Below are 14,861 nucleotides of genomic sequence, written 5' to 3' on the forward strand. Positions count from 1 at the left end.
GGCTCAAACTATCTGCCCATCTCAGCCTCCCATAATGCTGGGATTACAGACGTGAGCCATCATGCCCAACCACATTTTCAGACTTTATATATTATATTAACATTATGCTTATCAGTACTTAAGAATTTATAGATTGAATGTCTTTACTATTTCAGTGGTCTTTCTCTTACAAATTGCTAAGCAGTTGTGTTAGAAATAACATTAAATTGGCCGGGTGTGGTGGCTGATGCCTGTAATCCCAGTACTTTGGGAGGCCGAGGCAGGCAGATCACTTGAGGTCAGGAGGTCGAGACCAGCCTGGCCAACATGGTGAAACCCCATCTCTACTAAAAATATAAAAATGAGCTGGGCGTAGTGGTGGGCGCCTATAATCCCAGCTACTCTAGAGGCTGAGGTAGGAGAATCACTTGAACCCGGGAGGCGGAGGTTGCAGTGAGCCGAGATTGCACCACTGCACTCCAGCCTGGGCAACAGAGTGAGACTTTGTCTCAAAACAAAACAAAACAAACAAACAAAATTAAATTTTTCATTTTGGTCTTATAATTCACATCTAGAATTAATGCTTATGCTACTGAAACTTTATTCTGGGAATTCTATTTCTATATCACATGGAACACTTAGCTTTAAAGACCAATGTAGAAAGTAGAATTCCCTTTTACCTGTCTTGGTTTGGCCTCTATTGCTTGATGAAACTTTGGCAGGATGTAGTGGTGCACACCTATTTAATCCCACTGTTTTTTGTTTGTTTGTTTGAGACAGGATCTTGTGCTTTCGCCCAGGCTGGAGTGCAGTGGCGCAATCTCGGCTCACTGCAGCCTCCGCCTCCCATGTTCAAGGGATTCTCGTGCCTCAGTCTTCCAAGTAGCTGGGATTACAGGCGCCCGCCACCACGCCTGGCTAATTTTTGTATTTTTAGTAGAGACTGGGTTTCACCACATTGGCCAGGCTGATCTCGAACTCCTGACCTCAGGTAATCTACCTGCGTTGGCTTCCCAAAGTGCTGGGATTATAGGCATGAGCCACTGCACCCAGCAGTAATCCCACCATTTTGGAAGGCTAAGGTGGGAGGATTGCTTGAGGCCAGGAGTTTGAGACTAGCCAGGGCAACATAGTGAGACCTCATCTCTACATACATACATACATACATACATACATACATACATACATACATACATACATACATAAGCAAGCAAGCTTGCTGGGCATTGTGGTGTGTGCCTATAATTCCAGCTACACAGGAGGCTGAGGTGGGAGGATTGCTTGAGCCCAGAAGTTTGAGGCTCCAGTGAACCAGGATTGTGCCACTGCATTCCAGCCTGGGTGAAAGAGCAAGACCCTGTCATTCATTCATTCATTCGTTCATTTATAAATAAACAAACAAACAAATCTTCTTGGGAGGCCAAGGTGGGCAGATAACCTGAGGTCAGGAGTTCAAGACCAGCCTGGCCAACATGGTGAAACCTTGCCTCTACAAAAATTACAAAAAATTAGCCAGGCATGGTGGTGGGCGTCTGTAGTCCCAGCTACTTTGGAGGCTGAGGCACAAGAATCGCTTGAACCCAGGAGGCAGAAGTTGCAGTGAGCTGAGATTGTGCCATTGCACTCCAGCCTGAGCAACAGAGCAAGACTCTGTCTGAAAAAACAAAAATTTAAAAAAGAAATCTTCAACGAAATTCTTTTCAAAATCTTAAATTTAACTGCATCTGTGTAGTATCTCTATTTGGCAAATAAAATATGTCATAAAATAAAAACTGGTATGTTTTCTCTGCAAGGTAAGAATGTATGTTATGAGGATCATATCTTTGAAATTTTATGCCTTTTTAAAAATTGTCTTTTTTCCACGCAGAATGAAGATGTTCGACCACACATCAGAGACAGATTTCGCTTGCATGATTTGCTGCCCCCAGATTAAGTACAAAGACTTGTCAAATCACTGAAGGGGGAGAGAATGCAGGACCCTTTTGGACTAAGACAAAAACATTGCCATTACTGTTGAAATTTTGCATTTTTGTACCCCGTCTTGCTTTTCTTATCTTTGGTGCCCAATAATAATTAAGGGTTACAGAAAGAGACTTTATCTATCTCAGATCGAATACATATAGTAGGTAGGCTAAAACAGAAGAGTCTTTAGAACTAGTGCAACTCCAGTGAAATTTTTTATGTACAGGACATCTGCAGTTTATAAAGAATTCTGTTTCTGCCACCAGCAGTTTGACCTGTAGTCACACAGGATTTTATGATAATAACAGAGATGAAAATGGACTTTTATTTTCTCTCTGTTTGGTGCTCTAAGTGGGTTTGTAGCCACTTTTCTGTTACTTTATGATTCTCATTTCAACAGGAATGGCCAGTAAAAGTTGTTTTATTTTTCCTGTTAAGGTTTATAACCTTTTTACATTTTTGACCTGTATTAGATTAGAATTTCATTATGCATTCCTTTTAGTTGAGGCGCTTCATAGTTTTCTGGAGATAGTCAATTTTTAGTTTTTTATTATACATTTGAATGGCCGTTTTCCTGCTTTGTCTGCCTGCACATTGTATATTTGTTTAAAAATATTCTCTACTTTTAGTCTATGTAAGTTTCATTTAGAAAGACATGCATTTATATTTTGTTTCTGTAATATTCTACTGTAGGTGAAATCTTTTCAAAAATCAAGAGACTGGGTAGATAAGAATATATGAATGACTAATATACAAAAGATTTAAACCATTGTGATGGCGTATATTCTCAAATGGTAATATCTTGCAATGGCACACAGATTTAATGGATAAAGGTATACCTCAGACTTCACTGTGCTCACAAATCTTTGAGGAGAAAGTTTGGTCACCTGTTTGGCTTGATTTAGTTACTGCTGCCTTTGGTTTTCTCCAGGAATGAAGTATTCAGCACAGTGACTCAGTATTTTTAGTTATTTTGCATGGGCTGGTAGTACCTCTGTTATGCTCTCAGTTACAATCAATTTAAAACTGTATAACAGTCTTGGTACCTAACAGTAGCTATGCATAATCCTGTGGCACAGTACACTCCCAAGCCACCAATGCAGTTAATATGCTCTCATAGTGGTTTTTCTATGCTATATGAAAATAGTCTTCAAGCCTTGGTTCTCTAATGCAGCTACCACAAGAGGTTGATATTTTTATAGTGGCGTGTAATCTCCTTTTCGGGAGGCTTTTTATGGAAGGTAGAATTTGTAAAAGTTCGTATGCTTTGCCTCTCAACTGCATTAACATGCCACAGGCTCAGACTGTTTTTGTGTAAAGGATGTCAAAGAACGGCACTTTTTCTAAAGAGAAGTTTGATATTTTGTATGCTTGTTAAGAAAGTACAGTATTGGAAATTAAAGGTGGACAACTGATAATTGAGGAGTATGTCAATTAATTTTTTATGTATATTACCTGTTTACTTGTACAACTTACTGTACAAATTACATGCAGCTTCATTTTCAAATGAATCCTTAAAATAAGGAAATCTTTTTAGGAAAACATTTAATTTTTGTATTTTTGATTTTAAAGGCATGAGTTATGTCAATTTTCAGTGTATTAATGAAGATTTTAACTTTTCATCAGGTTGAGTGTTTTCTTACTATATTATCTGTTGTGTATGTAGTTAGCATATTGTGTCACTGAACTGTTTAAAAATCTAGCATGTAGAGCAAGCCTGTTTTGTGGAAAATCCTTATTCATTAAAAAAATAATCATGGCAGATTTTCTGCAAAAAAAAAACAAAAGCATTTGCAATTCAGAATACTGATTTTTTTAATTTTATTTAAAGAAAGGTATTTTGCTTGCAGGAAAAAAATACTACAGATTCATTTTAATGAGAATCTTTGAAATGTATTTATCTTTAGGGCATCTGGGCATCTTTATGCTGTTTGTCTTCTGTCTTTCTTGAAATAAAATGTACATACGTTACCTTTACATATGCTCTTGCTCAAAATTGTGAACCTAGTTACATTTCTCCCTGCTCCCTTCCTTTTTATGCTCAAACAGCGAAACCCAAAACTTAAAAGATCTGAACTTTCAGCATGCATTCTGATTGCTGAAAGATTTCCTGATTTAGTGCATTCTCAAAAGGGCTTTCCCATAATCTAAAGGGAAATGTAAGCACCTATACTCTTGTGCCTGTGGGCACTTCAATAATAAAAACCAACTTTTTAAACTAATCATCTTTTATCAATGATAAAGTTGTTTTCAGTCCCACACTAGGAGAGTTCCTTTAAGTCAGCTGATCAAGCATAAGATACTTCCGTAAAGAAATAAACTAAGAAAATTTTTTATGGCTTGAGAAAATTCCTTGAGGCCAAATTAATATATTTTTCTTTGTTATTTTATTTGAGTCATTTTAAATTTGTTAATACAAAATTTAAGATAATTTACAGAGACAATTTATCCAGCTTCCTTCTACCTTAATACAATGTTTTGTCTTCCCATTATCCTCTCTTTTCTTTATCTGTTGGTAGATGTAAAAAACTTCCATTTAGTTAATCGGAGGTGTGTATTTTTTAAATTGAAATGTGCCCAGCCCCTTCAGCTCACACAGGAAACATGAACTCTTAAAAAACTGACTAGTAAATGCAGGAGAGGTGGATACCTGATGAGACACAGCGAAAGTGACCTGTATACACATTACAACTCTGGAGTACATATTAAAGTCGTGCTATTTCCAGTGGTAAATGTCTGACTTTTAAGACATTCTTTTAAATATTTGTATCATTGTTAGGATGTTTTAATCAGTTGTTTTTTAATTCCATGTAATATATGTAGCCCTCATCAGATTTATATCACCATATTTCTCCTTGTGTCCTAAGAGAATTGATGACAATTCGTAACCATAAATTGTTTTATATTAGCTAGTATGTATATTTATTTTTACCCAATGGCTTTATCTGTTTCCCAAAATTTGTTTGGGATTTGTTGAAAGCATTGTGTAACTTCTATAAACGGCTATTTTCTTGTAACTGTCAGTGAAATGAATGTGTACATTGTTTTCTTGTATTTCTCTGGGTTGTTTTTTGTTTTTTTTTCCAAGGGTTAACATAGAATGTTTTTTTTAAAAAATTATCTTTGGCCAATGACTTTTTCATCTAGATCTTACTTTCATTCAACCTTCTAAAGAAGTTCGTTTCTCATTGTTTTGTTCTGTCAACTTGCCTGAAAAACAGAGACTTCATCTCATCAATGAAGAAAGCATTTCATTATTCCTACAGATCTTTCCTGCGAGCACAGAATTCTTCATAAGGACCAGATCTCTTCCATGTCTGTGTCAATCACATAAAGCTAAAATGTAAAGGACATTGAAGCCTTTATTTAATTGTACTAATATGATGGTGTTATATACTACATCATTAGCTAGTTAAGGTTTTCTGACCTGACTTCTCTTTGTCTTCCTAGGTATTTATTTGTTATCTTTTAATCTTGTGTATCTAAATTAACTTAGTTAATAGTTACCCACCGAATAACTATGCCAAGCAACTAGTAAAGAATGTTTATTTTATTTCCCCTTATAGGGGAAGAGTGGACTGGGAACAAAAATGTATGGGCCAAAAGGCCTTAGGGTTGTCATTCATTGACTTTCTTATTCCTCTCATGAGCTATAATTGAGTATAGTATTTTTTTAGTGCTGATGTCATTACTTCTCATGTCTTCCCCTGAGTTGAAAGCCTACGACAAACATGTATAAAATACATTTAAGAATTTTCAGAATATGAACCACAAAACTCAGTATCTTATATTTAAATGCTACTTAAGTTATTATTGGAATCCAAGTCTCACTAACTAGGGTACATTTTTATAAAATGTTTCTCTGTATCTTGAATTGAAATTACTTGCCCAGAGGCAAGAGTTCTGGGGATATAACATGATTTGAGATCTTTTTTAAAAAAGGGTGGGGCGGCGGGGGAGAGAGCGACAAGTTTATACTAGTTTATGCTTTTGATATTAGTATTTTAAGATACATCAGTTGATCCCGAAACCTGACCATTAGAATTACTCTGAGGAGCTTTTAAAATAGATTCCTGGAGCCTACCCCTGGAAAATTGTCTCGCTGGATCTCGAGAGGGGCCTGAGAGTTCTGGCTTTTTTTTTTTGTTTGGTTGGTTTTGTTTTGTTTTGTTTTGTTTTTTCTTTAAAGCTCTCCTGGTGATTCTAATAGCCAGTATTGGGTAATCAATGTTTTAGCTAAATGTGACACTGGTTTGAGAGTAGGCAACAAAATTAAAGTTCACCAGACATCTCTTTGTGGTAGAGTTTTTTTTTTTTTAAACTGGGACCAGATTTCACAGAGCTTATTCAAGATACATGGAGGAATAATAAAGAAGATTAAGGCTACTGCTCATTATCATTTTTGTCTTTCATATTTTTTAAGGGTTTGCATTTCTAGGACTTGGAATAGTTGACCATATACATAGCTAAAGGACATGTCCCTGAATGAGACCATTATATATATTATCTGTAAAATATTTCACTATTTTTTTATTTTATAAATCTTTGTAGAAATAAGCAATGAAATACTACTTTCATCTTTTGAAATGGGATTTTTCAAGGCAGTGTCCTTTTGGCATTAAGGTAGGGGGGAGTTAATATTCTCTCTGCCTTGTTTCCACGTGAATCAATATTAAAGTCATGGACATTTTAAAATCTCAATTTAATTTCTTCTTATTTACTATGCAGTATAGCCGTGAACAAGTAATGTAGATTTAGTTTTCTCATCTTCAAATGCCCTGATCACCCTACCTCACAGGGTTGTTGTGGGGATAAATAAAACTTTTATGGAAGCACTTCTCTTTGATGATATTTTATCAGCCATCAGAAACAATATAATTTCTAACAACATTTGTACAGTGCTTTTTTTTGTTTAGAAGCATATCTTTTTTTCACATTACTTTCCCTTTTGATGTTGAAAAACATAAAGGAAATTGAGACTTGGAGAAAGCTGTGACCCAAGACTATGCAGTTCCTCTGGGAGACTTGAATTTAGTTATCACCATAATATTCTGTTTCCTAGTGCCTTGGCATTTTGTATGATTATGTTTGTTCATGAATACAAAGCTTTCTCAAGTTTGTAAGTCTATTTAGCCAACAAAATGTTCTTATAAAATGTAAGGAATATACAGTGGTACAAACTAGACCTATAGGTAATAATTCATTTTAAACTAGAAGGAAATTTCAAGTTCTAGGTGTACTCTATTTTAGTGTTTTCCCAAGATCACAGAGCTAGGACTAGAATGTAAGTCTCTTAATTACCGTTACAGTAATGATTTTGGAAGGGCATTCTTTATTGCTGGAACTACTGTGAGCAGAGGTGAAAAACACTTGAAGATACCAACCAGAATTAAAAGGGGTTGGTTTTGAAAAGGAGAGAGAAGATGGCAAGAGTGAACCAGATTATAGTGCGCTAAGATGAGGAATATACTCGATGTATGGGCTAAAATAATGAGCCAGTATCACTATAGCATAGTAGCACTCTGGTCCCACACTAGTTTCTGTGATGAGACTTTGTGATAGCTATTTTCCCTAAGCTCCAAAGGAGTTTGAGGCGCACACAGTTTTGAAAGCCACTGCAATAATCCTTGAGAAATAAGTGATTGCACTATAACATTCTATTCAGGCAGATAGTTGACTTGAGAGCATGGTCAATGAAAGCATGAAGTTCAGAATCAAATTTGAGTTCAAGTCCCTGAAAACCCAGCCACTTAATAAGCAAGAGGGTTGTTACCTACCTTTCAGAATTATAAGGATCAAATGAAATGTCAAAACATGTTATAAGCCGTAAGCAATATACAAGTAACATGAGGATGGAGATGTTAAAGCAGGTAGTTTTCTGAAGGAGGGATGAGAACTATATACCAGGTTTTGAGAGATGTCTGAAGCCAGAAAGCAGGAATGTGCAGTAGGATCAGGATATTGTAATACCACAGGACCACAGATGTCAGGGAGGGTTTTTAAGAAAGACAGCAGTGGGTTGCATTTTTTAAAAGACCTGTTAGGCCGGGTGCAGTGGCTCACGCCTATTATTCCAGCACTTTGGGAGGCTGAAGTGGGCAGATAATTGAGGTCAGGAGTTGAGACCAGCCTGGACAACATGGTGAAACCCCCGTCTCTTCTAAAAATACAAAAATTAGCCAGGTATCGTAGTGCACGCCTGTAGTCCCAGCTACTTGGAAGGCTGAGGCAGGAGAATCGCTTGAACCAGAGAGGCAGAGGTTGCAGTGAACCGAGATTGTGCCACTGCACTCCAGCCTCGGTGACAGAGACTCTATCTCAAAAAATAAAAAATAAAAACCACTACGTGTTAGGCACCATGCCAGGCTCTGTGAATGGTAGAAGGTGGCAAAACAGACAATGCCTTAAAATCTTAAGCTTAAAATCTACCAGTAGAGAAAGTCAAGATCCTTTTATTGGTTAAAGGGCTAAAGCTAGGCTTGGCTGTGGGGAGAGGAGGCTCAGGGGAGTAAATGATCAGGTGCGTATTTTAAAAGATCGCTTTGGAAATAGAGTGGGTGGGTGGGAGGCCAGTTAGCAGTTATATAACTCTCCATGTAAAGTATTCCCTTTCTCTAAGTTAATGCACTGGGTGATAGCATCATAGTGGACAGTCAGGTCAGAAGATTGTTAAGGTTCTGGGGAGAGTATGGCTTGTGTGGCTTACTGAGAGCTTACTAATCATGTGGATTTTAGGCACTCCCTGAGGAAGGCATGTTTTTTCCGCTGGCCAGACAGGAATAGGAAGGTACTGTAGGATTTTATGGTACCCTGTAAGTATGGAAAAATATATGGAAGTTGAATGGAGACAGTTTCGTGTCTTAAGACTCATGGGGGTAGGGTTTTGGTTTTTCGTTTTGGTTTAAAATAAAAAATTTCATTTAACTTAATCAAATCATATAAATCAAAAACTTTATTTATTTAATTATTGAGATGTAATCTTGCTCTGTTGTCCAGGCTGGAGTGCAGTGGTGGGATCTCAGCTCCCTGCAACCTCTGCCTCCCGGGTTCCAGCGATTCTCCCGCCTCAGCCTCCCTAGTAGCTGGGACTACAGGCGTGCACCATGATGCTCAGCCAATTTTTGTATTTTTAGTAGAGACAGGGTTTCACCATGTTGGCCAGGCTGGGCTCAAACTCCTGACCTCAAGTGATCCACCCGCCTGCCTTGGCCTCCCAAAGTTCTGGGATTACAGGCATGAGCCACTGTGCTCTGCCAAAATTTGTTTTTACATGTACTCTTTTTCCCAAGAAATCATTAGAAAAAACATGCAATGACTCCATAATTTTGCACTTTTATAAATAGGAGTTTTGACCTGCCCCTATTTCCAATTAAAACAATCTGCTCTTCAGCCTTAACCTAGTCCATCTTTATAAGATTTTGAGTCTGATGCTTAAGGTACTTCCTCTTAAAAAGAAGCTATAAAGGGGCCGGGCGCATGGCTCACACCTGTAATCCTAGCACTTTGGAAGGCCGAGGCGGGCGGATCACGAGGTCAGGAGATCAAGACCACGGTGAAACCCCGTCTCTACTAAAAATACAAAAAAAATTAGCCGGGCGCGGTGGCGGGCACCTGTAGCCCCAGCTACTCGGGAGGCTGAGGCAGGAGAATGGCGTGAACCCAGGAGGCGGATCTTGCAGTGAGCCGAGATTGTGCCACTGCACTCCAGCCTGGGTAACAGAGCGAGAGTCCATCTCAAAAAAAAAAAAAAAAAAAAAAAAAAAGAACTCTAAGGCCAGGCACAATGGCTCACACCTGTAATCCCTGCACTTTGGGAGGCTGAGGCGGGGGGATCACCTGAGGTTAGGAGTTCGAGACCAGCCTGGCCAACACGATGAAACCCATCTCTACTAAAACTACAAAAAATTATCTGGGCATGGTGGCACACACTTGTAATCCCAGCTGCTCAGGAGGCTGAGGCAGGAGAATCACTGGAACCTGGGAGGCAGAGGTTGCCGTGAGCAGAGATTGCGCCAGCCTGGGCAACGAGAGCAAAATGTCATCTCAAAAAAAAGAACCTATAAGTAGCTCTGCTTCATTTGTGTTGTTTATTTACTCTTCTATAGCTTCAATGATGAAACTTTTTTTTTTTTTTTGACATGAAGTCTCACTCTGTTACTTAGTCTGGAGTGCAGTGGCGGGATCTCAGCTCACTGCAACCTCCACCTCCTGGGTTCAAGTGATTCTCCTGCCTCAGCCTCCTGAGTAGCTGGTGGAACTCCTGAGTTCAGGTGATCCACCCGTCTCTGCCTCCCAAAGTGCTCGGATGACAGGCATAAGCCACTGCACCCAGCCATGAGGAAACTTTTTTTGAGACGGGCTGGCTCTGTCATCCAGGCTGGAGTGCAGTGGCACGATCATGGCTCACTGCAACCTCAACCTCCCAGGCTCAAGTGGCCCTCCCACTTCAGCCCCCTGAGTAGCAGGAACTACAGGTGTGTGCCACCATGCCCAGCTAATTTTTTATTTTTTGTAGAGATGGAGTCTTGCCATGTTGCCCAGGCTGGTCTTGAAATGAGCTCAAGTGATCCTCCTGCCTCAGCCTTCCTAAGTGCCGGCATTTTAGATGTGAGCCACTGTGCCTGGCCTGGAACTTCCTGACAGAAGTTTTAATGTTAATTTGTTAAGAAACATTGATTACCTAGTCTGCTCATCTGTAAAATGGGAATACTGTCACTGTCTTTGTGATTATAGAGCTCCCCTAGAGACTAACCTGTGAATCACAAGTTTTTTTGTGTGTTTGTTTTGAGACAGAGACTCGCTCTGTTGCCCAGGCTGGGTGCAGTGGCATGATCTTGGCTCACTGCAACCTCTGCCTCCTGGGTTCAAGCGATTCTCCTGCCTCAGCCTTCCAAATAGCTGGGATTACAGGAGTGCACCACCACATCCGGCTATTTTTTTGTATTTTTAGTAGAGACGGGGGTATCACCAGGTTGGCCAGCCTGGTCTTGGAACTCCTGACTTCAGGTGATCCACCTGCCTCAGCCACCCAAAGTGCTGGGATTACAGGTGTGAGCCACCACGCCTGGCACAAGTTTTACAGACTAAAGGAAGTCCCTAATACATAGGTCTAGAACCTTGTTTTCCTGTTTCCTCATTTGAAAAAGCAGTATGCACACCACTATAAATAAATTCTCAATTTCTGCTTTGAAAACAATGCTGCATACACATAGCCCATGAATTTTTCCATAGCACCTTCAACCCACATGCCCCAGTTTTTTTTTTTTTTTCTTTTCTTTTTTTTTTTTTTGATAGAGTGTCATCCAGGCTGGAGTGCAGTGGCACAATCTCAGCTCACTACAACCTCTGCCTCCTGGGTTCAAACCATTGTCCTGCCTCAACCTCCCAAGTAGCTGGAATTATAGGCATGAGCCACTATACCTGGCTAATTTTTGTATTTTTAGTAGAGACAGGTTTCACCATGTCCAGGCTAGTCTCGAACTACTGACCTCAAGTGATCCACCCACCTCGGCCTCCCAAAGTGCTGGGATTACAGGCATGAGCCACCGCGCCCAGCCTTCTTCTTTTTTTTTGAGAGGGAGTTTCGCTCGTCGCCCAGGCTAAAGTGCAATGGCGCGATCTTAGCTCACTGCAACTTCTGCCTCCCGGTTCAAGTGATTCTCCTGCCTCATCTTCCCGAGTAGCTGGTATTACGGTGCCCGCCAACATGCCCAGCTAATTTTTTTTTTATTTTTAGTAGAGATGGGGTTTGCCACATTGGCCAGGCTGGTCTTGAACTCCTGACCTCAGGTGATCCGCCCGCCTCAGCCTCCTAAAGTGCTGGGATTACAGGCGTGAGCCACTGTGCCCAGCATTTTTTTTTGTTGTTTGTTTTCAGATGGAGTCTCTCCCAGGCTGGAGTGGAGTAGCACAATCTCGGCTCACTGCAACCTCTGTTTCCTGGGTTCAAGCAATTTTCCTGCTTTAGCCTCCTGAGGAGCTGGGGTTACAGGCATGTGCCACCACGCCCGGCTAATTTTTGTATTTTTAGTGGTCTTGGGGTTTCATCATGTTGGCCAGGCTGGTCTTGAATTACTTCAAATGATCTGCCTGCCTCAGCCTCCCTAAGTGCTGGGATTACAGGCGTGAGCCCGTAATAGGCGTGCCTAACCAGTTTTCAGGTTTTTGACTTAAGCAACTAGATAAGTGTCACTCAATATCCAAAGGCATCGTCTATCTATTTCTCCCTTCCCCTCCTCCTTCATATCTAGTCAGACACTATATTAGTACGGGTTCTCCAGAGAAACAGAATCAATAGGATGTGTATATGCAGAAAGAGATTTATTTTAAGGAATTGGCTCACATTATTCTGGGAGCTGGCAAGTCTGAAATCTGCAGGGCAGACAAACAGCCTGGAGACCCAGGGAGATTTGACGCTGCAGTCTGGAGGCTGAATTGCTTCTTCTTAAGGGTCTCGTTTTAATTTGAACTGACCGGATGCGGCCCACCCTCATTATAGAGGGTAATGTACTTTAATCAAAGTCTGCTGATTTAAATGTTAATCACATCTAACAAATACAATTCATAGCAACAACTAGACTAGTGTTTGACCAAAAACTGAGTAACATGGGTAGCATCGCCTAGCCAAGTTGATAGATAAAATTAACCATTAAAGTCACTAAGTTCCATTGACAATGACCTTTAAATATTTCTCAAGTTGGTTTCTTCTTCTCCATTGCCATTGCCTTAATTTAGGCTTGTGTTCTCGTTTAATTAATTCATAAAATACTTACGTATTAGGCATTATGCCAAATGTTGGAGATACAATTGTGAGTAAGATTGTGTCCTTAGGGACTTACATTCCACCCTTTTCCTGACTTCTTTCTTGCCTCCTTCCAATCCACATTTTTTTTTTTTTTTGGTCTTGTCACTTTGATGCCCAGGCTGGAGTGTAGTGGCCAGAACGTGGCTCACTGCAGCCTCAACTGCCTCAGCTTCCTGAGTAGCTGGGACCACAGGACCACAGGTGCACACCACTATGCCTGGATATATATATTTTTTTGTAAAGATGGGGTCTCACCATGTTGGCCAGGTTGGTCTCGAACTCCTGGGCTCAAGCGATCCTCCCGCTTTGGCCTCCCACAGTGCCGGGATTACAGACGTTGAGCCACCGTGTCCGGCCCTGATCCACCTTTATAAATGGCTGTCTGTAGATCATGGCCTCTCACATTTTAACTGGGCTGTAGAATATGTATTGAAGGATCATCTTTATAAAATGTTTATTTGTAGACTCTGAAAAGATAACACCAGAAAGGGGGAACAATGGTTACCACTAGAAAGAACGGAGCGGAGCAGCTGATCGTTGTATCTACCTTTTTTGTTTTTTTTTTTTTTTTGAGACGGGTCTAACTGTCGCCCAGGCTGGAGAGCCGTGGCGCGATCTCGGCTCACTGTTGCAACCTCCGCCTCCCGGGTTCAAGCGATTCTCCTGCCTCAGCCTCCCTAGTAGTGGGGATTACAGGCGCCCGCCACCACGCCCAGGTGATTTTTGTATTTTTAGTAGAGGTGGGGTTTTACCATGTTGGCCAGGCTGGTCTCGAACTCCTGACAGCAAATGATCCGCCCATCTCGGCCTCCCAAAATGCTGGGATTACAGGCGTGAGCCACCGCGTCCTGCCCACGTATCTACCTTTTTATCACATGAATGTTGTACCAAGTTCGCGTATTACATATTTGAAAATAAATTGCGAAAATAACAAAAACAAAATCCATCTACTGGCTAGCTCTTTAAAATCCTGCGGGGGAGCCCAGTGGCCCAACGGCGAAGTTTAGCCCATCTTGCCCTTTCTGGTCAGTGTACCTGTTCCATTTATCTCTGACTGCGCCACTCAGTCAGGTGAGGGACCACTGGAGTTTTCTACCGGAAATGCACTTCAGCAAATGCCACTTGCTCTCTCCAACTTCAGTTTCAACCAGCGCCTACCTCAGGAAGCCTTCCTTCATCCTCCGGCCCCCGCCGCCGCTAAGGTTATCCTTTTACATTCAACCTCATAATGCTGCTTTTTGTGGCAGTCATCACAGTGTCGAAATTTGTTTACATGTCCATCTTTGCTACTTGATGGAGGGCAAAGATACACCTCATACCTAGCATAGACCCCAGGAGGTCCGAAATTGTTCTGCGAAAGAAAAAAAAATCAATGTGCTGGCCTCAAAGGGGCTCACAGGAAGGGAAAAGCCTCGAAGACTAAGGCTCTCTTCGATTCCTTCGTGACTAACTCGAGGCAAACATGCCAGGAACGCGGCTCTCCCCACCCGCTCCTGCATCTGCGCCCGGGGATCGCCGGATTCCAGAGGGGTCCCCTCCACCTAGCGCGCGACGACTCCCTCTGGGGTCCCGGAAGCCCGGCCACCGACCCCACAGGCGGGCGTGGCCTCAGAGCCCTCTTCTGAGCACGGCGTGGGTATCCGCAGGCGGCCATGGACGGTGATCACAGTGACCAGAGGGACAGCGCACCCTCCGGTCGAAGCGGGGTAGGCGTTGGCAGGGGAGGGGCGACGAAGACTGGCGAGGTTCAGGCGCCAGCCAAAGAACCACTCTGCTAACTTCCTGGCACTTACGTTTCCTACCCGGGGCCCAGAGTCGGGCGGCGGTCTTCCAGCACCACGAACTCCAGTACTGGTCTGCGTTGTAGGGAGCTGGAAGCCCGACCCAGCACTCCTCAGCCCCCTGTGCCCCTCCCTCTGCTCTTTCCGCCCCTCCCTCCGCCCCCCTCCGCCCCCCCCTCCGCCTCTCCCTCAGCCCCGCAGCGCCACCGACCGCGTTCCCCGCCCACTTCTTACCCGCGCGCGTCGCCGCCGCCGCCTGAGGGGGCGTGGCCTCGGCTCGGCGCACAGTCAGCCACGGTCCCATCCTGCTCCGCGCCGGTCAACGAGAGCAAACC

At 42.0% G+C, this 14,861-nt stretch overlaps 1 protein-coding gene and 1 long non-coding RNA gene across 7 annotated transcripts in view, besides 4 other annotated features; one reads left to right on the forward strand and one right to left on the reverse strand.

The window, feature by feature from the left end:
• CTDSPL2 (CTD small phosphatase like 2) overlaps positions 1–6,776 on the forward strand; it is a 101,410-nt gene extending 94,634 nt beyond the window's left edge. For all 5 annotated transcript variants that reach the window (XM_005254441.3, NM_016396.3, XM_011521665.3 and 2 more), the window contains exon 13: positions 1,847–6,776. In XM_005254441.3, coding sequence (XP_005254498.1) covers positions 1,847–1,912 — 66 coding nt within the window. In that variant the 3' untranslated portion in view covers positions 1,913–6,776. The remainder of the gene's footprint in view (positions 1–1,846) is intronic.
• Positions 6,777–12,242: 5,466 nt separating this feature from the next.
• On the reverse strand, positions 12,243–14,661 carry EIF3J-DT (EIF3J divergent transcript). Of its 2 annotated transcripts, NR_034171.1 has the most exons (3): positions 14,539–14,638; positions 13,781–14,096; positions 12,243–13,212 (listed from the first exon to the last, which is right to left on the reverse strand). It is a non-coding gene; the product is annotated as an EIF3J divergent transcript (long non-coding RNA). The 2 variants fall into 2 exon arrangements; NR_034170.1 differs by having other exon boundaries at positions 13,781–14,661.
• Positions 13,553–14,340: an enhancer, noted in NCBI's record as "NANOG-H3K27ac-H3K4me1 hESC enhancer chr15:44828013-44828800 (GRCh37/hg19 assembly coordinates)". NCBI's record gives its function as "activates a minimal SCP1, AML or CMV promoter by ChIP-STARR-seq in naive H9 embryonic stem cells {active_cell/tissue: H9 hESC(naive)}" and the evidence as "EXISTENCE:reporter gene assay evidence [ECO:0000049][PMID:30033119]".
• Positions 13,553–14,477: a biological region, named in NCBI's record as "NANOG-H3K27ac-H3K4me1 hESC enhancer GRCh37_chr15:44828013-44828800".
• Positions 14,028–14,477: an enhancer, noted in NCBI's record as "active region_9339". NCBI's record gives its function as "activates an Ori minimal core promoter by ATAC-STARR-seq in GM12878 lymphoblastoid cells {active_cell/tissue: GM12878}" and the evidence as "EXISTENCE:reporter gene assay evidence [ECO:0000049][PMID:35858748]".
• Positions 14,648–14,817: a silencer, noted in NCBI's record as "silent region_6395". NCBI's record gives its function as "represses an Ori minimal core promoter by ATAC-STARR-seq in GM12878 lymphoblastoid cells {active_cell/tissue: GM12878}" and the evidence as "EXISTENCE:reporter gene assay evidence [ECO:0000049][PMID:35858748]".

This window comes from Homo sapiens, chromosome 15 (genome assembly GCF_000001405.40).
Source record: "Homo sapiens chromosome 15, GRCh38.p14 Primary Assembly".
Lineage (NCBI taxonomy): Eukaryota > Metazoa > Chordata > Mammalia > Primates > Hominidae > Homo > Homo sapiens.